Here is a 25,630-nt window from a genome sequence, read left to right as displayed (position 1 = left end):
TTTTCAGCAACAGTGACTGAGAATTCCCCCCAAATTAATGTCAAACACCAAACCACAAAGCCAAGAAACTCCAAGAACACTGAGCAGTATAAATGAAGGGAAAAAAAGCTACAGCTAGGCATATTAAATCCAAACTTCTGAAAATGCAAGCTGTTCTCTTTTTAACGAAACTGCTACTTTTTAAAAAAATGGCTGGTTGTGTTTAGAAACTTCTTGAATAGCAACATTCTTCTCATATTTTTTTCTACGAAAAGTTTTCAAGAAGAAGTTAAAACCTTGATTTAGAAATCATGACTCTTGTTCATTAAGCCAAGTATGAGACTGTTAAAGACAAGCTATCTCTCATTTCTACTGAAGAGTAACTGGCTAAGTGTGAGACAAAAATATGAGTTTGGAATGAATCTTTACTTGTTCTATTTCATCAGGGGGAGTTCAAGCCTCTCTCCATGGCTCCTGTACTCCAGAAAATGTCTGTTTACATTTCTGCCGATTGAAAAAAAAAGCATTGAGATTAAAGGGACTGTCACTGTAAATTTTTATATATGTAAATCATTACATTTGAAGATAGTCTATGTTCACACTAAAAACATTTTCTGAGCACTATCTCTTTGCATGTAAAAAGTGAAGATGATATTTAACAGAACTGAATAATGCCAGGAAAAACAAAAGAAGGAAAAAGCTGTTTTGTATTGTTATTATTTGCCAGGCACATGCCCATAGTCCCTACATTATTTAATGCCCTTTACAAATTGGTATGATTTGTAGTCCCATTTTGTAGTAAGTGAGTAATTGAGGCAGAGACAAAGTACTGAATAAGCCCTACATCATACAGCGAGGAAAGACTGGAGCTGGTTTCAAACCCTGGTCTTCTTAGTCAAACTCTAGTGATCAGCCTATTCTATCTGTTACTCATCTATTTCTAATTAGATTATAAAATCTTTCTACCTGAAATACCCACATTATTGCTTTACATCTCAACTTCCATTTTACAAGTAATAGGAAATCTGCAATCACTGGTAGAGTAATCAACTCTGGCACAATCTTTCCATGAAAGAAGATAGAGAGACTATTAAAATAATGTATATTGTGAGCTCAAGGACAGTCTCTTATATGCCTAGACTTATCACAATACTTGATAAGTGTTGATAAACTTTTTCTTAGAGGCAGGATCTTGCTATGTTGCCCAGGCTGTAGTGCAGTGGTATAATTATAGTTCACTGAAGCCTCAAATTCCTGGGCTCAAGAGATCCTCCCACCTCAGCTTCCTGAGTAGTTGGGAATACAGGCATGTGCCACCATGCCTGGCTATTTTTGTAATTTTTTATAGAAACGGGGTCTCACTATGTTGCCCAGGCTGTTCTCAAACTCCCGCCCTCAAGTGATCCTCCTACCTTAGCCCCCTGAGGGGCTTGGAGACCAGAGCCACTGCACCCAGCTGATAAACTTTAAATTAAAAGGATCTCAGAAAATAATTGTAGTTCTCAGTCAGATATTTTTCTCTAAGCAAATCTTAGCCTCTCCACCTCCACTCCATACCTCTGAGCCTGTCTCTCTTGAGAGCACAGCAGTGATGGGCACAAGTAGCTGGGATCCTAATGGTCCATGGGGAGAATTCTCCCAAAGTCCCTAGAAGAGGTTCCCCATGCTGTGTTACTGAAAGGCTAAGCAAAGACTGCAATTGGTCTCTGACATGCTGAAACCTCACTCTGTTTTTGTTTTGTTTGTTTTGAGACGGAGTCTCACTCTTGTTGCCCGGGCTGGAGTGCAGAGGCACAATCTCAGCTCACTGCAGCCTTCACCTCCTGGGTTCAAGCGATTCTCCTGTCTCAGCCTCCCAAGTAGCTGGGATTACAGGCGTGTGCCACCACACCTGGCTAATATTTTGTGTTTTTAGTAGAGATGGGGTTTCACCATTTGGCCAGGCTGGTCTCAAACTCCTGACCTCAGGTGATCCACCTGCCTCGGCCTCCCAAAGTGCTGGGATTACAGGTGTGAGTCACTGTGCCCAGCCCCTGAAACTTCACTCTGTACAGGTGCCTTCCTTCCTGGGCCCTCACTCCAACCCTGATCTCCATCCTTGCCACTTGCCAAAAGCAAGAAATTCTAGTCAGCTGTCTTCTCACATATTGTTATCCCCAAACTACATTCCTTCCACCTGTCCCTACCTCCAACTTCTGCTGACCCTCCTCCCAGCTACTTCCACAGTGTTCTCTGGACGCTTCATTGCATTTTAAATACATTATCTTAATCCTCAGCCTCTCATACCTTGGTCCCTTTCTCCTATGAGTTTATAGATTCTGGCTACATCACACCGTTTCTTTTCTTTATAGTCATCTACTAAATCCAACTATCAAAACCATCACAGCCTACACCCCCTACTCCATCCACCCCCCGCCCCCACATACACACAAACACTCATTTATTTATTATTACTTTGGCAGTGGTTTAAGTTTTTATTTCCATCCCATCTTCTACCATAGTGGCTGCATGGCACCAATGTCCACATAAAGGAGTGCCACTTTCAGGGAAGGTGGAGAGGGTCATGAAACACCTTCATTGCTATTATAACAGAAGACACCAAATATAGTACAAGTGTGTACTCGTGATCAGTGGCTCCAAAGTCCCCTAACTGGGCTAAATTTGAGAGAGAAGCAAGCCCTTCATAGACAAGCAAAGCTCAGCAGCCATAAACATAGTTCTAGGCCCAGCACAGTGGCTCATGCCTGTAATCCCAGCACTCTGGCAGGCCAAGGCAGGAGGATTGCTTGAGGCCAGGAGTTTGAGACCAGCCTGGGCAACATAGCAAGATCCCATCCCTACTTTTTTTTTGAGACGGAGTCTCAACCTGTGGCCAGGCTGGAGTGCAGTGGCACAATCTCGACTAACTGCAATCTCCACCTCCTGGGTTCAAGCGATTCTCCTGCTTCAGCCTCCTGAGTAGCTGAGATTACAGGCATGTGCCACCACTCCTGGCTAATTTTTGTATTTTTAGTAGAAACAGCGTTTCACCATGTTGGCCAGGATGGTCTTGATCTCTTGACCTCATGACCTGCCCGCCTCAGCCTCCCCAGAAAAAAAAAAAAAAAGTTTTAATTAGCTAGGCATGGTGGTGTGTCCCTGCAGTGCCAACTATTCAGGAGGCCAAGGTGGGAGGATCACTTGAGCCCAGGAGGTCAAGGCTGCAGTGAGCTATCATTGCACCACTGCACTCCAGCCTGGGCAACAGAGCAAGATTCCGTCTCAAAAAAGAAAAGAAAAACCATTAGAACAGTAACATTTGAATCTCTTGGGCCCAGTCTAGAAGCTTCCCTGTGTCCAAGGTCAGATGCTGTGTGCTCCAAATGCCAAAAGAATAGGATCACTGGAAGATATCTTTAAGGAAAACATCTCTGAAGTTCTGAATGGAATGCAAAAGTCACATCTGTGAGCCCACTCCTTGCCCCTCTTCTGATAGTTCCCCATTACATGTTGTATAGATGGTTGGGGGTGGTAACCTGGGAACAGGTGATTAAACATGAGCAAGGGCATAATTGGTATAAAAATGTGTGAAATGTTTTATAGGTGCAAAGCTGGGGCCCCACAGCACCTGTGCCCAGGGCAAGGGCCCCTTAGGGCAGTAGCAGACCAATCCATTCTCCTAAGACTGAGCCAACCAGACTGGTCTGACTCACTGTGCCCACCCCATTGGGAGGCCCCAATTACTACCATTTCTTCTGCCCAAGCCCTGCTCTCCATTCCTTCCAAAGGCATCTTGACTCAGGGCTGTGTCTCTCCCCTTGCGTCCCTACCTCTGCTCCCACTCTCAATTAGCTGCTTTGCTGGTGTGGTCACCACCCTCTTACCCAATGTCTTCAGTGGCCCCAATTCCCTGTGTGCTAAAATCCCAGTCTCATCAGCATCCACCACCTCCTTTGGTATTGTGACCAAGCACCAAGGCACTTCTTGCCTCTGGGCTTTGTGTACACTGTCCCCATGCCTGCCCCCCTGGATTGCCCTACTCCCCATCCCTGCCAATATCTAGTTTTAAGCCAAGACCCAACAGTCACCTTCTCTAGGGAGCCCTTCCTGAATTACTCCCCCTCCCACTCTCTACTCCCCAGCAAAATGAGCCCCTCCTCCTTGCTCCTGGCACAGTACCTGCAGGACTGCTTTGCTCTTGCTTATTGCCTGGGGGTCTCCCTACAACCAGGCAGTGCCCTAAGATCAGGGGCCGTGTCTGGCTTCCATTGTAACCTGAGTATCAGGTGCAGTGCCTGCCATAAAAGAATCCACTGCGCGGATGAATTCTTAGAACTGTCACTGTACCTAGATGCATAGATACAAGGAAATTTTTAAATAAACTGCTTTGTGCAAGTGATTCATGCCTGTAATCCTAGCTACTCCAGAGGCTGAGGCGGGAGGATTGCTTGAGGCCAGGAGTTCAAGCCTGGGCAACATAGCAGGACCCCGTCTCTATTTAAAAAAATGCAAATAAACTAATTAACAGCCCCTCCTTAATCAAAAGATTTACATTGGAATCAATCAGCAGATTCAACATAACAATTTCCTAAAATAAACAGCAACCCCCAAAAAGGATATTACTCACCACAAGTATAATAGCGTCAACATCATGGTTAATTTAATTAAACCAAGTCAAGACATCCACAGCAAGATCCCTGCTGATAACCAAATCTATAAAGCATCTAAGTGTGTTCTCAGAGGCTAGAAAAATAATTATATTTTCTGCAGGCATTATTAAACATCCATAAATTCTAGATATTCCAAAAGAGAGAAGTAAACACACGACCACCAAATTCTGTTCTGTATTTTTTTAAAAGCTCATTCTTATTGAAAACTGTGGTTCTCTGGAATGTAAGTGCGTGAGACCTCCTGCTAGTTTCAAATCTGAAACTGTGGCAACCCTTGTGAGCCTGGATGTCCCTGAAAGCAGAGCTAGGGACAAAGGCTAGTGTGCAGGTAGTTTAATTGGGAGGTGATCCCAGGGTGCAGAAGGGGAGGATGAGGGAGGATGAAACAGGCCAGGGGACAGCTGCAGTAGGGATGTGTCATTGAATTGGTCACTGCTGCAGGCAACCGGTGCTGGATCCTGCCACGACCCTCTCAGGGGTCTTATTGAGTTGCATTTGTTATTGAGATGCAAGTCAGAGCTGTCTGCCTGGAGGAGGGAAAGGAAAAACATGCATTCATTGACTTTCACTCCTATTGGTCAAGGGGGACCCCTCAGGCAACAACTCCCACAGAAACTTCCCCCTACACACACGCACGCACACGCACACACATGCACACATGCACCCACATGCACATGCATACACGCACATACACATGCATACACACACATTCCCCCTACACACATGCACACACACGCACATACACACATGCATACGCATATATGCACATGCACGTATGCGTGCACACACATGCATATGCACACTTGCAGGCATGCACCCACGTACACATGCATGCACACGCATACACACATGCAGGCATGCACATGTATACACACATGCACACACATATATACATGCAGGCACACACTTCCTGGTTGCTTATGCCTGAGTGTTGAGCCAGTCCCCATGGTTAGGTATCCCACCCAGAGAAGCTTCAAGCCAGGAAGGGACAGGAACTTGTCATGCTGAGGTGATGCCACTGTCAGATTACACAACTGGAATAAAATGGGACTGAGATGCTGGTGCACATCTGGGCCTGATATGCGCAGGAGCTCTGCCCCAGCCCACCCCCAGTTCTCAGAACGTACTCAGTATGTAATTGAATAGACAATGCATTATAATGCACATGTGTGTAATTTAACAAATTTTTGAATATGATAACCTATCAAGATATTCAGAAACCTACTATAAGATTTTCGATTATTTCATTTTATCCGCAAACTGTAATCCTCGTTTTATTAACCTAATGGTGCCTAACCCACACAAGAAATGTAATGGACCAGTCATTCCCTTATTCGTTCAACCAATCCATATTGTGCATCAAATATGTGCCTCTCAACGTGACACCTGCTAGAAATAAGAAAGATGGGCAAGGCAAGATTCCTACCTTCACAATCCAGAGGCGAAGCTCTGCGCTGCAATGGAGCAGGGAAAGTGCTGTACCAGAGGATGAATGGAATCACAGCGGCAAAACATAGAGGCGGCCCTGCTCACCCATGCGTGGGGGAGAAATGGGACTCGGGAAACAATTCCAAAAGGAGATGATGCAGGAGTTTATGTTTGGAAAATAAATTTAAATTAGCCGGATCAGAGAGATAAGGAAATGAATTCCAGACAGGAGGCACATTGTGAGCAAAGGCACAGAACCAGGAGAGAGATCAACCGATCTGTTCTGGAAACTGTAAGTAGGTGTGTGTCACTGAAGCCAGGGGCATAGGGGTTGCCAGCATGAGATGAGCATGAGGGGCAAGTTATCAGGGCTTTGTGTTTCAGACCAGGCCTCGATGCACGGGAAAAGGGACTGGACTGAAAAAGAAATATTGCTGCAATCAGGTTTGTAGGCCTATGGAGAATGGTTGGGGTGAAGGGAGACAAACTGGAGAACAGGAACATCACTGAGGAGGGAATTGAAATAGCTGAAGTCCACACGTTCAGCAAATATTCGTTAAGTGTCTAGTATGTGCCAAGTATGGTGGTGACATTTGTGATGATAGTGCCAGGAAGTCATGATGATGGTGCAGTGGTGATGGTAGCGGCAGTGCTAGTGATGATGGTGGTGATGATGGTGGGGGTGGTAGTGATGGTGGTGGTGATGGTGATGGTGGTGGTGATGATGATGGGGGTGGTAGTGATGGTGGTGTGATGGTGATGGTGGTGGTGATGGTGGGGGGTGGTAGTGATGGTGGTGGTGATGGTGATGGTGGTGATGATGGTGGGGGGTGGTAGTGATGGTGATGATGATGGTAGTGGTGATGGTGGTGATGATGGTGGTGATGGTGGTGATGGTGGTGGTGGTGATGATGGTGATAGTGGTGATGATGATGGTAGTGGTAGTGATGGTGGTGATGATGGTGGTGGTGGTGATGGTGATGGTGGTGATGGTGGGGGATGGTAGTGATGGTGATGATGATGGTGGTAGTGGTGATGGTGGTGATGATGGTGGTGGTGGTGGTGATGGTGGTGATGATGGTGGTGGTGGTGATGATGGTGGTGGCGGTGGTGAAGATGGTGGTGGTGGTGATGGTGGTGATGATGGTGGTGGTGGTGGTGATGGTGGTGGTGGTGGTGATAGGGTTGGTGATGGTGGTGATGATGGTGGGGATGGTAGTGATGGTGATGGTGGTGGTGATGGCAGTGATGATGGTAGTGATGTTCATGATTGTGGTGTTCGTGGAGATAATTTTTATAGCATATGTATATAGCATTGTCTCTGTCCCAGACAATTTCTAAGTACTCAGCATATATTTGATTCATTTGATGTTTACAACAACCCTATGAGGCAGACACTCTATTATCGCCCATTTTACATATGAGGAAACTGACAACCAATTGATAAAGATTAAAACAGGGTAAATCTATAGGCAGTTCAGCCAGGCAAGGCCTTTCTGAGAAGGTCACTTTTATGCTAAGAGCTGAATGACAGGAAGGTGCCAACACACGAAGTTCAGGGCTAGGAGGGAGGGCTCTTTAGAGGAGGGGGACACATCCAGGTGGAGAGAAGCAGAGCAGAGGCCCTCCACAGTGCGTTGCCCTGGCTAGGCTGCAGACTCTGGAGAAGGCCAGGGAGGCTTTAGTCACCAGAGCTCTTCAATTGATTACAAGCTGAGGTGGTGACAATGTCCTGGGTCAAGTGTCAAACACACAGAGCAGTGGACATGGGTGGGAAAAGAGCAGGGAGCTAAGAGATTTGGGAAGTGAAATGGACAGGGCTCGATTGGTACTGGATCAGGAAAGTGAGTGACACCGGACAACCCTTGTAGACCACATGTGGCAAAGCACTGGCCACGCTGCAGCCTCTGTCCCCGCCGTTCCTTATGCAAATAATGTCTCACTGCATCCTCCAAACTGCCTTTCACTTAGGTACCATATGCCCATTTTTCTCATGAGGATATTGAAATTTGAAGAAAATAAATAACAACTACAATCATACAGATAGTAAGTATAATAGTAATCAGGAAAAAAAATCCAGGGACTTAAGCCATTACTACATGTGGCTCTTACAGAGCGCCTGGCCTCCTAACTGCTTCCACTTCTACCACTGATTCATCAGTTTCTGGGGTCAAACAGATTTTCCGGCAATCGCTCTAAATAATTGAATAATTTGTATTTTTAAACAGATCTAAAATATGTTTAAAATAACAAAAATAGTCAGAAATCAAAGTTGTATTGGAAGTATCTTTATTACAGTGCCATAAACACTAATCCATAATGAGATATATACACACTTCTTTAAAACACGTTATCACAACCAGTTTAAATCAGACTAAGCAAATAATCACAGATGTGCCTAAGGATATAACACATAGAGATTTCGCTGCAGCATTGTTTACAATGACTAACAAAAAGAGAACAAACCAAATGCCTAACAATATGGTCCTGGTTCAATAAATTATGGGGGATTTTTCAAAAATAAAATTATTGCCATTATATGGAAGAATATATAATAATGTGGGAAGATACTCACCATATATTAATTGGATATACCAGGTTATAAAAAAAAATAGGTGCTGTGTAATCTAGTCTTCATTAATGGGTGGTTAGATTCATGCACATGTACAGATGTGCACGGATGGATGGCTAAGTGGCTGGGAGTCCAACATAAATGGAATAGAGGTTATCTCTGAGTGGCTGGATTATGAACGATTGTGGGGGGGGTGTGTGTGTGTGTAAATAAATATATATATATTTATTGAAATTGTATAATGTTATATATGAATGCTTATAAATATTCTATAAAGAATAGATATTTTAGTCTATAAGAATAAATAAAAATAAATGTTCTTTTAAAAATACAACATGGGTTTACCCCAGATTACATATAAAGAAACAAAGGTCTTCAGAAGCTCAAAGCCTGAGAGTTTGAGGCTGCAGTGAGCCATGATCATGCCACTGCACTCCAGCCTGGGTGAAAGAGTGAGACCCTGCCTGGAAAAAAAAATGCACAAAGTTACATAGCAACATGAACAAAAGATGTCAGGATCGAAACCTTTGGTATCAAAATCTCTAGTCAGGCCCTTAACCACAAATTCAAAATGCCACACTCCTTAACTCCCTAGAAAATTAAAAATTGGTTGAGTCTGTCTAAACAGGCTTGAGCTGCATCTTTAGTGAAGACTCTTTCCCTCCCTCGTATATAGTTAAAAACAACTTCAATTCACATGAAACAGAGAAAATGTTAAAAGCTTTTCTTACTGAGTAACATAAATGTAAACAATGTAAAGAGCTCTCAGTTGGTTTAATCTAAACAAACAAAAAAAAATATTAAGCATTCCGCCTTGTTGTACTTCTTCTCCAGAAGATAGACTCTTCATTAAACTTTTCACCTTTCTAATTTACTAACTCTGCATCCTGCACGGTGGGTGGTTTTCTTTCCAGACATTGTGACGTGGATCAATGTAGAACGCAGGAGTCCCTGAATGGAATTTACAGCTGAATTTCACCAGGCATATTTTAATAAGATTAGCATATCTTTGTCTTTCAACACTAAGTACCTTACAATTAACTGAATTTAGACAGCATATTGTTTCATCAGAAGTGAGATTTGAAGTCTTCATTTCCATATTTATTGATGTGCTGTGTGGAAGGAAGTCTAAGTAAAAATTCCTGCATCTGCCATGGAGAGATTCCAACAACGAGGATGTGTTCACCTGTGCAGGAAGCTCATGTAGACACAAAATCTCGCCTCCTCCACACTTACTTCTAGACAAAGTCACCATGGCTTCTGCTGGGGGGAGAAAGAATTGGCTAGGAATGCCTCTGTGCTACAACTATGGGTACTCCTTCTAGATGGCAGGAAACTCAAAGGGCTTGGGTGATAACATCACTTAGGTGCTGCTAAAACCAATCCCTCCAGAAATGCCCATGAAAGACCATTTTCACAACCTGTGGTCTTCCTTGTTCCAATCAGGTGACCAGATGAACACTCTCAAAGCTAAACAAATCAAGACATCTTCTTTTGGATGAATTCGAAATTAGCCAAAGATCTTAAAAAACATTTCCATGATGTAACCACAAGAACATGATTTTTAAAAATCAGTCCCAAGGGGTAGGAAAGAGGACCCTTTTTCATCTTCAACTTTGTCCATCTTGGAAAGCATGTTTTAAAGAAGCCATCCAGTTAAGAGTGTGTCTACACAGGCATTACCCACTGAGAGCTACCTTGAAGGGAAGAAAATTAATTTGGCAAATTGCTCAATTCCTTACTGGAAGCTGTGAACTTGGCAGTTGGTCACGGAAGGGGCAGGCTCTGTTTACTGGACGTAATAAGCAGAAGAGGAAGCTCTTCCCAGATATGAGGACCATCTTTTCGTGAGGCTGCAACCAAGGGGATGTAGAGAAATCTCCTTCCCCACTCCCCAAAGCTAATTAACAGCCGGGCTGCATGTAAATCAACCCAGGAGGATGTAAATAGAAGTGAGGGGAATTAGGGAAGCTGGAAGTCATCACACACAAGTAGCAGTGTGTCAATAATACAGTATATACGATAATGAAAGGAGTTCCAAGAAGAAAGGCAGAATCAATATTCCCTACATGTATGAGTCTATACTCTTAACACCATATTATTGGATAAAACAGGCTTCTAAGTATAAAACCTGTTATCTACCAAAATCAAGCAGATAATCATCTTTGCTGAATGAAAAACTGTGCCCTTTTGGAATAAATATTCTCTCAGAAACTAACATGTCACTATTAATTGAAACTTTGAGAGACAGAGTTGACATAAACCTTAAACTGTATTCATTTATTTGGATTTAAAATGTGGCTTTGGAATAATCTCATTCACTTTTAGGAAAATTGGGTGAACCCAAAGCTAAATATTTATAGAAGTCTCACTAGAACATCCAAATATTTAAAAATAAATGAATTTGTTGATAAGGAAAGTTTTATGTATATATTAATGTTTCACTGACATATGGGAAACATTCTGACAAATTATACTATCCTGATTTTACTTGTCCAGAATGGTTTCTGTCAGACCAGTTGCTTTGCTTTCAGCTTCTGCCATAAGTAATAGTCATCTTGTAATTAATTTGTGAAATGCTTTAATAGTTTCTCTGACTTATAACCAGTTATTTTACCTGGTGTACTCCATTGGCCACAAGGATGAAAGGCTTAAATGTTAACCAAAAAATATTTTACACCTGCATTGGTTGCAATATTATTTCACCCAGTTAGTACACCAACACTCATGAAGGACATAAGATGTTCTAAAAATTATAATCTAAATAAGAACTCTTCCCGCCACACACGTCCCTGAATCAAGAAACGTTATGAAGATCACTCATGTGCCTGCAGCCACATTTTATGTAGTCCTATGGCAAGACTTAGTGATCTCAAAATTCATAGATAAACCCATATCCAATTACTACCATTGGTTCCATGATGTCAAACTAAAAAACTAAGAGGCAAACATTTCCTCAGAGATGGGTAGTCCCTCCAAATAAATGTAAGATTATGATACGAGTGTAAAAGCACAGTGCACACCTGTTTTATCCTTGTGGGAAAGTGGTCCTCCCCCTTAGGGATTTGATTAATAATGGGGTGTGTGTGTGTGTGTGTGTGTGTGTGCTTTCTAAAGTAAAACTATACATATATTACACATGGTAAAAGAAAAACAGAGCAGACAAGGAAAAGAGCAAAAAAAATTCTAAAGCCTGCAAGCTGACAAACTTTCATGAAAAAACTACATTTTCGTAAGTTTCAAAAGTTTTATTTATTTATTTATTTATTTATTTATTTATTTACTTATTTATTCATTTATTTCTTTTTTGAGACAGGCTCTTGCTCTGTTGCCCAGGCTACAGTGTAGTGGTGCTATCCTGGCTCACTGCAGCCTCAACCTCCCGGGCTCCAGGGATCCTCCTGCCTCGGTCTCCTGAGTAGCTGGGACCACAGGAATACACCACCACACCCAGCTAATTTGTTTTTTTAATTATTTTTTTGTATAGACAGGGTCTCACTATGTTGCCCAGGCAGGTCTCAAATTCCTGGGCTTAACTGATCCTCCTGCCTCAGCTTCCCAAAGTGCTGGGACTGCAGGCATGAGCCACCACACCCAGCCAGGTGTAAAAAGTTAAAACTTATTTTATCATGGTAGTTTTAAATTTTCCCTCCAAAACAACAAATCAACATTTTATTCAAGCATATCATTAGGCACAACTATAAAGAACCAATAAGAGAAAATAATATCACATAATTATCACTAATATTCAGTGGTTTCTTAAATAAGTAGTTTACAAGTTGTTATCCTTATTTCTGTTTGTTTCTATTCTCATTGGTCAATAAAAAGAAGCATGTCTTGCTCTGTTTTCTGTAAGTTATATGGGCATGCCAAAGAGGTAACTTCGGTATTTGGTCTGGCATCATTCCTTTCCCACAGAACCACAAAACATTGGTATAGACAGAGAGATAACAATTAAGTGGTCAGTCAGTCCCTGCAGACAGTGGACTAGCTTATATACTACATTGTAGAAACATCCAAAATTTTAAAAGATAAAGATACTGACTAGAATGAACAGGAAATAGCAAAAATTTAATCTGTATTTGTGTCAGCCTCCAAATTACAATTCACTAGATTCTGAATGTCTCACAAGAGTAATTACCAACTAACTTTAGACTATGTTGAAATTATTTAGGAAAAATGATACCATAACATTTTGCATGGCATTTGCAGAGAGGACCTTGAAACTACACAAACAGGAATTATGCCAGTTGGCTCTTTGGGCACCATAATGACTAGGATAAGTGTTGTATTTTTATGAGGGTGAATTTCAGAAGTTTATCCTTACTCGGATCTAGTTTACTAGGCTTGAAACACTCCAACTAAGCAGCACATGTGACTGTGAGGAAGAAGCAGAGGAGAGACGGTCTCAATGCATAAATCCAATGCCACAAACACAGTGAGTCAGAGGCAAGGAACCAAGTGCATGAGAATCATACCAAATTCTTCCTTTTTGTAAGTTTAAAATTAAATGTCATTCATTTTGAAATAAACAATTTATAAATGCACTCATTTTTATAAAAAATACAAATGATATCCCAAAAATTGAAACAAAATTTCCTATTAACCATCACTTAGTCTCACCCTTTCTACAAAGGTAACTATTGTTATCAATCTGGTGTGTATATTTCTGAACATTTTGTTTTGCATATGCATGACATAATTTACACGTATCTGTAGGAATTTAGTTTTCCCATGTGTATTGGGAGGTATAAGGTGTGTGCAGTTCAGCAATTGGTGCTTTTTTTGTTTAAAATGTGTCTTTTTGGGACCATATACATGAATCTTCAGTCTCTTTAACTGCCTTGTAGTATTCAATAGCACACTATTTTTTTGTTACCTCTATCCAATTAATGTACATCACATAGTGTCTTAGTTCATTTTTACCCTGTGATAAAGAACTACCTGAGACTGGGTAATTTATGAAGAAAAGAAGTCTAATTGGCTCACAGTTCCATAGGCTTTACAGGAAGCATGACTGTGAGGCTTCAGGAAACTTACAATCATGGCAGAAAGGGGAAGCAAGCACGTCTTCACAAGGCAGCAGGAGAGACAGAGAGAGCGACAGGGGAACTGCCACACCATCAGACCCTGTGAGAACTCACTCACTGTCATAAGAACAGCTTTTAAACCATCAGACCCTTTTATCACTTTCATCACTTTTAAACCATCAGACCCTCTGAGAACTCGCTCACTATCACGAGAACACCATGAGGGAAATCCCCCATGATCCAATCACCTCCCACCAGCCCACTCTCCCGACATGTGGGGATTACAATTTGAGATGACATTTGGATGGGGACACAGAGCCAAACCATATCACATAGTTTCCAATTTTCTTGTATTGTAAAACAAATGAACAAACAAAAACACTGAAATAAACATTCTTGTATATATCTAATATACAATGTCACATCTGCAAGAGACCCTCTAACACAGACATTAAAAAACAAAACAAAACAAAACAAAAAAAACAGAATATGAGAGATGACAATGGCTTCTGTGTGCAGAAGCCTGGGCTGGCCTACTGGATGGTGAGAACCCACATGGAGCAGAGCCAAGGTGTCCCAGCTGAGACCCACCCAAACCAACCGGCCTGCCAATGCTCCCAGACAGGTGAATGAAGCCATCCTATATGACCTAGCTTCAGTTACGCTAGCAAAGACCAGAAGAACTGCCCAGCCAACTCCCAAAAGTGTAGGAAATAATAAGAATTTATTGTCTCTAAACTACTAGGTTTTGGAGTGGCCTTTTACACAACAGAAGCCAACTGATTAAGACAGATAGAGTCAAATTGGCTATACCATTTTATACTCATACCAGCAGGCTGTGAGAGTTATTTCCTCAGTATCACAGTATAAAAAAATTATCAGGTAATTCCCTCTAATGTGAAAAGAAAAAGAAATGCAACCAGCCAATAAGCATGCAAAAAGATGTTCTCTCTTCTTTCTACAGAATGACTGACTATCTGCTCTTCCCCACCACCTTTTCTTCTCTAGCTTTCTGAATCCACAAATGAGCAGCTTGGAGAAGTGCATTGGCAGGCATATCAGCTACCCTAGGGGGTGACCACCCAGTGCCTACCATGCAGGTAACATCTGATACCTCAGGTATGGATCCGCCAAAGGCTGGCAAACCTCACCAGGAGACTGCCATCTAGAGTTTGCTCCATTCACTCTAGGTCTAAGGTCTCATGCTGAGCAGTCACTTAACTATGGATATCAAAGCCATACAATAAAACAGTGGCTAAAAAACCATATTTTGCAGAAAGCCAAGGTTTCATGAAACCAGAAAATGGAAAAAAATAAACACAGAAATTTCACTTTTTGGCCAGGTGCTGTGGCTCATGCCTGTAATCCCAGCACTTTGGGAGGCCAAGGCAGGTGGATCACCTGAGATCAGGACTTCAAGACCAGCCTGGCCAACATGGTGAAACCTCGTCTCTACTAAAAATACAAAAATTAGCCAGGCGTAGTGGTGCACACCAGTAATCCCAACTACTGGGGAGGCTGAGCCAGGAGAGCTACTTGAACCCGGAAGGCAGAGGTTGCAGTGAGCTGAAATCGCGACACTGCACTCCAGCCTGGGTGACAGAGTGAGACTCTGTCTCAAAAAAAGAAAAAAAAAATCACTTCTTAAGGTAGTCTTAACTGTTTTAAATATAAATTGAGAAAAGCAAAATAAATGCAGTGTTCTTAGAGGGTCCCATAGAGACAGACTGGGCTGATAATGCAGAAACATTCCTGCCCCAAAACACCTAAAAATACAAGATAAAAATTTAATGCAAACCTGAACTCAGAAGATGGAAAGAGAAATCCCCAACAGCAAGCAAGAAAGAGGGGCCTAAAGGCAGAGGGTTGAACAGTGATGGAAGGCAAGGAAGTGGGCCCATTACACTTGTCAAGTGGGACTGACATGTGGAATTAAGCAGAACCATGGAAAGGCTTCGATCTCAGTGAACAGAGAATGAGAAAATCCCTGCCTCCTAACCTGATCAGGGGACAACAATAATGAGCTTATTTTAAAACCAAGGACATGGGAAGGTTTAGAACCTGATCTATGCTACACACCTAGTATCAGAAACCATGTAGCCTCCCCCGGCTCCCCTCCTGCAAGAATTCTATATCCATTGAAGCTATCATTTAAGAGTGAGGGCATCGTACAGACATTTTCAGGCTAAAAGATGAATCTCAGGAAGAAGGAAAGTGAACTCAGAAGAATGAAGTGAAATATACAAAGTAAACTTAAGAAAGAACATTATTAGACATATGGGTAAATCTGAGTAAGTACTGATCATAAAAAAATCAGAACAATAATAATAATGATGACCAGCTTGGATGATTAAAAACAAGTTGAAACTATGATATCAGGAAACAAAAATATATAAGATGAGAAGGGAGTAGAGTCAAAGCAATCAATTTGGTGAATTATTAAAGAGGCCAATAGAGATATTGATTAGACTTGCCAAGTCAAATATGGATGTTAAAAATTTAAAGGTCACTGAAAAAAGAATAAAAATAAAATGAGTAACTTCCGGTCCAGTAAAGGAGACTAAAGAAAACTGATCAATCTACTGAAAGGCAGGAAAGGAAAGAGAAATAGTACAGAAAAAAGGTCTGTCCAAGGGAGAGCAGAAGAAAGCATAAAAATACCTTTTATATTTTTATATGTAAAGTATCACAATATTTCATCAATTCTGAGGTGTACATTTGTTCACATTTTAACATTTCTGAAATCGGAATGTATATTTCAATTGATGGCATATCAAAATTGCTGTTAGCCACGCAGCGCTTGTGGCATGGATGTCAGGGACAATGTACACACGAACATCAAAAGCACCAGCATCAGCACCTGTATAACGGGTGTTGGCATCTCAGAAGAAAATCCTGGAAACAATAGCTAAGCAGTATTTTAATTCTTAAGCACCAAGCAGTAGTGGGGAAGGAGGGAGAAAGCAATGAATCAAACAGGTTTAACAACATTCCCAAAGCTGAACTCAAAAAGAGGGTTGTTCTACATAATTTCAAAGCCAGCTTAAGAGTCAATTCTAATGGCTTTCAATTCTTTTGAGAAATGCTGCCTTCCCAATTATTGATAGTACAGAAAGTGCGAGAGCCTGGAAAAGCACAAGCATTGGTGACCTTGAGTCAAAAACAAATTCAGAAGAGTTAGACTCCAAATTTAACAGTTCTTAGTAATTACTTTGTTAATTTATTTCACTTATGTGTATGCATAAGACCACCATATGATTTTTAAAAGTTTCTAATTAATTCTAAAAGATCCTTTTTAAAAAGTTCAAAGTAAGTGTTATGTCACTGTTTAATTACACATTATGTTCATTCTTAGTGATACCTAAAATGATGCTGCATCTTAAAATCAATGATATCTTAGATTTGATGAAATACAATATAAGGTAATCATAATCAATGTAAAGAAACTAGACTTCCCCAATAAAATACAGATACTTACAAATTATATTTTGAAAATAAAGCTTCGGTGCATGCCTGTAGTCCCAGCTCTTTGGGAGGCTGAGGAGAGATGATTGCTAGAGCCCAAGAGTTTGAGGCTGTAGTGAGCTATGGTCATGATCACTGCACTCTAGCCTGTGTACCAAAGCAAGACCCCATCTCTAAAAACAAAACAAAACAAGAACAACAAAAATTAAAAGTAAAAAAGTGGGGGAAATATCTGAAAAATATTAACAATCACAACAGCAAAACTTAATATAAACATATAACTACCAAAAAAAATCATTTTAAGTGGTAAAAGGGAGGAATTATTAGGGATAAAAAGGGTTATTGCTTTATAATGAAAAGGACAATTCACCAGGAAGATAGAACAATTTTGAACCTTTATGCACCTAGCAACATAGCCTCAAAACAACAACAACAAAGGGTAGATTTACTGGAAAGAACCTAGAAGTCCACAATTTTAGTAAGGAATTTTAACTTATGTTTCTCAATAATTGATTCAATGGCCACATATAGAACAAACAGTAGTTAGAAAAGTCACATTTTTTTCAATCACACATAGAACATTTACAAAATTCATAATGGACTAAGCCACCAAAAAAGTCTCAAAAAACATCTACATCATATAGAACATGTTCTCTGACCAAAATGTGACCAAAAAAATTAGGATTTAAAAATACTTCTAAATAATTCATGGTTCAAAAAAGAAATTATAAAAATTGCAAAGATTCAATAAAACCAAAAACATATTTCTTGAAAAGAATAATAAAATGGACAAACTTCCAGCAAGATAACTTAAGAGAAATACTCAAATAGTACAAATGAGGAATAATGAGGAAACAAAACCATACATACAAGAGGGATGGCACAGACCTTGTGACAAAGTGGTCCTGAAATTTCTGGAGGGGAAATGAATAAGAATAACCGAGATAGTTATGCTTGGAGGAAGAGGAAGATCAAGGTGTCCTAACCTACCAGAAACTAAGACTTATGAAACCTTAGCATTAAAATATGTAGTATTAGTTCAGAAATAGTAAATAAATCAATGTAACTGAATGGAACCTGGGAACAAATATAGCTACATGTAAGATCTGGGTATATGCTGGAGGTGACATAACAAATGAAGAGAAACAATGGACTATTCAAAGCTGTGTTGCTATCTTTATTGGCAACAAATATGGGAAAAAATAAAATGAGATACCTATTTCACATGAATGACAAAAATAAATGCCATATTGAATAAAACCTAAATATGACAAGGAAGGCCTCAAAATTTTAGAAAAAAAATGCAAAATTATAACACATTGGGAGATAATTTCATAAACAAGACCAAAAAAACCCATAAAGGAAAAGATTGATAAATTTGAGATTAATAATTTAAAGATTTTTACTAATGATATAATAAAATCAAAAGATAAGTCACAGACTTAAAGAAGACATTTCCTTTTTTATTTTTTTATTTTTATTTATTTATTTATTTATTTTGAGACAGTCTTGCTCTGTCATCTAGGTTGGAATACAGTGTTGAATTCTCGGCTCACTGCAACCTTTGCCTCCTGGGTTCAAGTGATTCTCCTGCCTCAAACTCCCGAGTAGCTGGGACTACAGGTCTGCGCCGCCACCATGCCTGACTAATTTTTGTATTTTTAGTAGAGACAAGGTTTCAACATGTTGGCCAGGCTGGTCTTGAACTCCTGACCTCAGGTGATCCACCTGCCTCTGCCTCCCAAAGTGCTGGGATTACAGGAATGAGCTACCGCGCCTGGCCGAGAAGACATTTCCAAAGCAAATGGATGAATATCCAAGATATTTTTAGGACCTTCCCAAATCGAAACAAAAGAAGCAAAAGGAGAAAAAAAAAATGGACAAAGGATAAGAAGAGGTAACTGATATAAAAGATAACTGGTCAAAAATCATATAAAAATGTGTTTATTGTTATTAGTAATTAGAAACACAGATGAAAACAATGCACTTCCTTCATAACTCATCAGATTGGGAGAGAGAGTCTAATCTCCTAAGTGTTTGTGAAGGTGTGACAAATCAGAAACCCCTACACATTTTCTGTGGACATAGAAATACTGCAATTACGTTTGCACCAATCTATATTTACTTTCAAGAAACTCCTGGGCTGGGCGCGGTGGCTCACGCCTATAATCCCAGCACTTTGGGAGGCCGAGGCAGGTGGATCACCTGAGGTTAGGAGTTTGAGACCAGCCTGGCCAACATGGTGAAACCCCATCTCTATTAAAAATAGAGAAAATTAGTCAGGTGTGGCAGTGCATGCCTGTAATCCCAGCTACTCGGGAGGCTGAGGTAGAAGAATTGCTTGGGCGACAGAGTAAGACTCTGTCTCAAAAAAAAAAAAAAAAAAAAGAAAAGAAACTCCTGAACATGTCTACATAGGTATATAATAAAAAATATTCAACACTAAGTGTACTCATGAAAATGTGGAAGTGATCACACTATTCATTAGTAGTAGAGTAGATTATATAAAGTGTGGCTTATTCTTACAATGGAATACTACAATCAGTTAAACATTTTCAACCAGATCAATATTAAGCAAACTTTTGAGTTTATAAAGCTATTTATAATCAGAACTTAAACATAGATATTTTATGTGTTTATAAGTTATAGTTTTTTGCAAGATTTTGTTTGGAAAAGAGAGTTCCACTTTTCCACAATGTTTAAAAACTGTGATATAATAAGTGGCCATGGAATTAGCTTCATCTGTAAAACATAACCCTTAAAACCTATCTTGGCCAGGCGCAGTGGCTCACACCTGTAATCCCAGCACTTTGGGAGGCCAAGGTGGGCAGATCACCTGAGGTCAGAAGTTCAAGACCAGCCTGACCAACATGGAGCAACCCCGTCTCTACTAAAAATACAAAATTAGTCGGGCGTCGTGGCACATGCCTGTAATCCCAGCTACTCGGGAGGCTGAGGCAGAAGAATTGCTTGAACCCAGGAGGCGGAGGTTGTGGTGAGCCGAGATTGCCCCATTGCACTCCGGCTTGGGCAACAAGAGCAAAACTCCGTCTGAAAAACAAAGCAAAATACAAAAAACCTATCTTGCATACCTGTCATAAGGCTTAGACATTGTAAATACATAGAGATGGAAACAGAGATCAAGGTAGATAAAGTGATACAGTCATGGGGCAGATTGTTATTGTCTACCCAAATCCACCTCCACTTCCCTTCTTTTCTTTTTTTCTTTTATTTGTTTATTTATTTCTTTATTTCTGATAGGGTATTGCTCTGTTGCCCAGGCTGGAGTGCAGTGGCACAATCACAACTCACTGTAGCCTTAAACTCCTGAACCCAAGGGATCCTCCGGCCTCAGCCTCCTGAGTAACTGGGACTACAGACATACACCACCATACCTGGATAATTATTTTTACTTTTTGCAGAGAGAGAGTCTCATTATGTTGCCCAGGCTGGTCCCAAACTCCTGGCCTCAAGCGCTCCTCCTGCTTCAAGCCTCCCAAAGCACTAGGACCACAAGGGTGAGCCACCACAACTGGCCCCTTTTTTATTTCTTATAACCCTTAATTTTATTCAGGTATTCACCCTCCTCCACATGGTTAGGTACTTCAGAGAAAGATGAACTAATTCCCAGCTCCAAGCATAGGGTAACCTGACTTAAGCCCATTGTGGTCATCCCATTCTTCCTGCCCATGATTAGTTTAGGGATGAGAATTCAAACTGATTCTACCAATGAAAGCTGCCAGGAGACTGCTGGGAAGAGGCCAAAATCCTGCCACCATCTTTTGACTTTGAGGTCACCATGGGTAAAACCCCTGAGGGGGACAGGGCAGAGAAACAGAAGGAACCTGAATCCTTGATGACGTTTTTGAAAATCTGTATCTATCAACCTGGAAAACTGCCCTACTTTTGTAAGATGACAATTTGTTTTGTAAGATGACAATTTCCATCCTGCATGAGCCAGTTTGAGTTGGATTAACTGTTATTTGTTGCTGAAACATCCTACATTATTTAAAAAGAAAGAAAAAGAAAAAGAAAAGAAAAGGGAGCAGGGGGCCAGCCCAGAGCCTAGCGCATAAAAGACCTGCTGTCATCCATGGCAGCTGAGATCATTATTCTATGCCACCTCCACTCATCCAGTCTCCTCTCTTGCCATCCTCCAATACATTAACAATATAACGCAGATCAAACTACTTTCCATCCTCATTCTGGTCACTCTTATTCTTAAGCAAAGCAACTATTCCCTATAGTTACCATTAGCATATATTCCAAACTTCATTTTTTCTAAGTACAGTTTTTATTGCTGACTTGGGAGATTTAGGAACAAGGGTGATATTCACCAGTCTGCAATTATGAATTATAGGTTAGGATTCACTCGGTTTAGTTATACCTACATTTTTACTCTAATAAAAAAAAATCAGGATGTACAATTCCAATAGATTACCTTCCAGCAGAAACCTTGGGTATTTGATTACCACAAGACAACCAAACTCCAGTAGAATCCTAATAGAAAATGAATCCTTTCAGATTTTTGACAGGTAAAACATCAGGTGAAGTTTTCTGTCCTTTTATTTTCAGATTGGAGGACAAGACCAAGAAGTTAACAAAATTAAGAGACAATGCCACAGCACATATACAGATAGACATCTTTTTCTGAATAGGAATCCAGAGACCACATGGATCACAGTGGAAAACATAATGAAGCCGGGTGCAGTAGCTCACGCCTGTAATCCCAGCACTTTAAGAGGCCAAGGCAGGCGGATCACTTGAGGCTGGGAGTTCAAGAAGAACCTGGGCAATGTAGTGAGACTCTGTCTCTAAAAAAAATTTAAAATAAATAAAAATAAATTTTAATTACCCAGGTGTGGTGGCATGCACCTGTAGTCCCAGCTACTCATAAAGCTGAAGTGGGAGGATCTCTGAGCCCAAAGTTTGAAGCTGCAGTGAGCTATGATCACACCACTGCACTCCAGCCTGGGCAACAGAGCAAGACCCTGAAGACCTATCTCTTGAAAGGAAGGAAGGAAGGAAGGAAGGAAGGAAGGAAGGAAGGAAGGAAGGAAGGAAGGAGGAAGGGAGGGAGGGAGGGAGGGAGGGAGAGAAAGAAGGAAGGAAGGAAGGAAATGATTAATAATCAGCAGCGTGATAGACCAACAAGTAAAAATATGAATCCTTCCTTTTTAGCCCCCAAGGTAGCAGGACATCCTATCACCAACTTAATCAAGGAAAATATCCTTCACCATGAGCAATGTTGCTTGCTAAGGCAGAGACTCTCGAATGAGGGTGAAAGCAGGAGTGTAATTGTAAGGCTGGGCACGGTGGCTCACGCCTGTAATATCAGCACTTTGGGAGGCTGAGGTGGGCAAATCACCTGAGGTCAGGAGTTTTAAACGAGCTGGACAACATGGCAAAACCCCATCTCTACTAAAAATACAAAAATTAGCTGGGCCTGGTGGTGGGTGCCTGTAATCCCAGCTACTCGGGAGGCTGAGGCAGGAGAATCATTTGAATCCTGGAGGCGGAGGTTGCAGTGAGCCAACATCATGCCACTGCACTCCAGCCTGGGTGACAGAGTGAGACTCCATCTTGAAAATAAATATATAGCCAGGAAGGTGAATCTGGTTCAGCTTGGGTAGCATAGGGGAATCCCCTGGTAGAAAATCCTGTAGTAACAAGTCCAGCAATCACATTCTACCAAAAGCTTGTAGGGAAGACTTAGTAAGCCAGGAGCTTCCCAAACGAGCACCTACCAAAAAAAGACAATTACCATGTTCAAAACAGAAATGACGCTCGAACAAATGGCTCCACATACCTCCAATATCTTCCAGAGAACAGAGAATGATGCAAAAATAAGATCATGTACAGAAAATAAGATGGATACTGCTGGAGGAAATATAAAGAACCAATAAACTGTAGAACTTTCAAAAGGGCATAGTTCTGTAGAAACTGATTTGTTTAGGGACATTAGCTGCAAAGAACTGGATATACCCACAGACTGAGACACCACCTGGTCCCCCTGAATTCTATGTTCTCTGTAGGTTCTTGGAAGCTGTTATTTACTCAACCCTCTGAGGTTCTGGAAAACATACAGGTGAGAAATAAATTTTCATCTCTGGCAGTCCTTATGCTTCCTAGCTGTTTAGTAAGGTGTTCCTGCATGTAATTACCCCACAGGGAGTTTGTGGGGAGACAAGGACATGAGCAAACATACAAACCACCCAGCTCGTTCTGCTAGACAGAGTCATTCTTTAACCTGGCCTCGTCTAGAGGCCCTGCAGGCAACTGGATTTCTTAAAGCGGGAAAGTACTCTTAAGCAAAGCAAGTTGTTCTGTAAGCAAAGCAAGTTGTTCTGGTGAAATAAATAACTAGAATCTTATTAGCAGATCCCACCTGCATGAAGTTATGGGGAAAAGAGGAGGAGAAAGGACTTAAGTTTTGTTGTTAATTAACACACGAAGAGCATATGAACCTGCTTCAATGACCACTAGGCTATAAAGCATCTGACCTTGGACAGCAGAAGTTAGTTAGACACAAAGAGATGGGGGCCTCTTGTCATGTGGTGCAACAGTCCCTAGGGTTTGGGGCAGACACCCTTGGTGACCTACCCAAGGCGACCCTACCCTTCTTCCTTACTAGCAAAACCCCGATTCTGTCCAAGTGACCCCTCGTGGTCAGGTCAGGCAGGGCTCAGTGATGTGACTTGTCACCCAATTCTGAACCATGAGAAATAAGAGAAAATCAGTTCCGGGAAAGCCTTCTTGGCACTGAAAATGAGGCACGAGAAGAAGAATGTCCCTCTTTGTGCCTCTGAACATTGGCATGTGAAGATGTGAGCTTCAGTCTGTAACCACTCTGTAATCATGAGGGCAACAAACCAACCTATCAGGCTGACAGAGAAAAAGATGGAAAGAACCCATCTTGATAACTTGTGGAGTCAGAGAATTAGCCAACTTCGAAGCCAGCCCACCTTCAGGTCTCGGGTAATGCAAGGTAAATATCTTTTCAGGCTTCCTGTTACTCCAAGTTGAAAAGATTGTAATAGATACTGAGCTCTATAGACTCCAAATGTAACCTATTTAAAGGTATGAATTATATCAACAGATTGAATACAAATAAAAATATTTCTGTCCAAGGAAAACTCTTGCTGTTGCATTAACAGCAAAGGCAGAGGCAATTTCCTACCATTGTGATTTGTCAGTGCTTTCTCGTGTGCCTAGAATTCTGCTCCTCTTCTCAAATAAACTTCTGATCATTCTTCAAAATTCCTGTGAAGTCCTTTCTTAGCTCTGTTAGGGACATTCACATGTTCCCTAATACTATTTCCGTGTACCATGTAAATATCTACTGAACAGCACTGGACTCATTCACCTGTGACTGTCCCATGTGAGTTTCCTGTAGAAGACGTAATGTCTTACTCATCTTCACATCCTTGCACTTAACAAAGGGCCTGGGACTCGGTTAGTGTGGCAGTTTTTAAATATGATCCCCAAATATTTGGCATTTCTTCCATTTTGTGGTAGGTCCATGCCCCTGCCTTTGAATCTGAGTGTGCTCATACCATCAGAGTGGGGCGGAAGTGATGCTGTGTGACTCTGAGGAGATGTCATATAAAGGGGCATGCAGTATTCACCTGGTTCTCTTAGGATGCTCGCTCTGGGGAGTGCCCCACCCCCCCAACCCCCTACTGCCATGTAAGAAGTCCAACCACTCTGAAGCTGCCATGCTGGAAAGGTCACGTGGGTGGCTCCAGGGGACGGTCAGCATCAACAGGCCACCACAGGAGTCCCCCCCAGCTTGGTTGTTTAGCCCCCTCAAGCCTTCAAATGACCCTAGTCCTGTGGACAGCTGAGTTCAATGGCAGGACAGGCACCAAGCAAGAGACCTGCCCAGTCAAGCCTTTCCTAAATTCCTGACTCTCAAAATTAGGAACAAAATAAAATGGTTGCCTTGAGCCACCATGTTTTGGGATCACTGCTGTACAGCAACAGGAACCAGAACAGTTGGTACTAAGTAAATATTTATTGACTTTACTTTGAACTCATTCTAAACTAGAATTTTTCAAACTGTAACTTGCCAGACAGTGTTTTAAGACAGCAGGCCCAGAGTTCATATTTATGTTGTGATACTATTTCAGTAAGCTGAACATATTAATGCATCATTTTTTTCTTTTATCTATATGGTATCATTTTACTACAAATTATACTTCTGTATACTATAAGCTTATCCCTATAGAAGTACATTTGCTTCTAAGAGCAACCAAGACTCATACAAAAAAAAACAAACAAAAAACAAATGCTGTCACCTCTAGAAAAAAAAAAATGCTGTGTTTACCTGAATCCAGTCAAAGATAGACTAAAATAGAAAGAAATGCCTTTGTCATCCCTACCATCTCCATGTCCTGAGTGCCCTAATAATTATAATTTGCATTACTGATGGAAAATTTTATCAGTAAATGGTGGTTTCAGACCACCATTTAAAATGGATCATTGTTACCAGACATAAACCCTTG

At 41.1% G+C, this 25,630-nt stretch overlaps 1 long non-coding RNA gene across 1 annotated transcript, besides 2 other annotated features; it reads right to left on the bottom strand.

Moving 5' to 3' along the window:
* Window positions 4,822-5,321: an enhancer, noted in NCBI's record as "H3K4me1 hESC enhancer chr10:35958057-35958556 (GRCh37/hg19 assembly coordinates)". NCBI's record gives its function as "activates a minimal SCP1, AML or CMV promoter by ChIP-STARR-seq in naive H9 embryonic stem cells {active_cell/tissue: H9 hESC(naive)}" and the evidence as "EXISTENCE:reporter gene assay evidence [ECO:0000049][PMID:30033119]".
* On the bottom strand, window positions 8,329-17,297 carry LOC124902411 (uncharacterized). Its single transcript, XR_007062114.1, has 2 exons — window positions 17,137-17,297; window positions 8,329-16,518 (listed from the first exon to the last, which is right to left on the bottom strand). It is a non-coding gene; the product is annotated as an uncharacterized LOC124902411 (long non-coding RNA).
* Window positions 10,240-10,430: a silencer, noted in NCBI's record as "fragment chr10:35952948-35953138 (GRCh37/hg19 assembly coordinates)". NCBI's record gives its function as "represses an EF-1alpha promoter that drives an FKBP-Casp9 reporter gene in an ReSE screen in HepG2 liver carcinoma cells {active_cell/tissue: HepG2}" and the evidence as "EXISTENCE:reporter gene assay evidence [ECO:0000049][PMID:32094911]".
* Window positions 17,298-25,630: the final 8,333 nt, after the last annotated feature.

Source organism: Homo sapiens, chromosome 10 (assembly GCF_000001405.40).
Source record: "Homo sapiens chromosome 10, GRCh38.p14 Primary Assembly".
NCBI classification, from domain to species: domain Eukaryota; kingdom Metazoa; phylum Chordata; class Mammalia; order Primates; family Hominidae; genus Homo; species Homo sapiens.
Note: the sequence above shows the minus strand (reverse complement) of the source record. Positions and strands in the feature narration are given on the sequence as shown.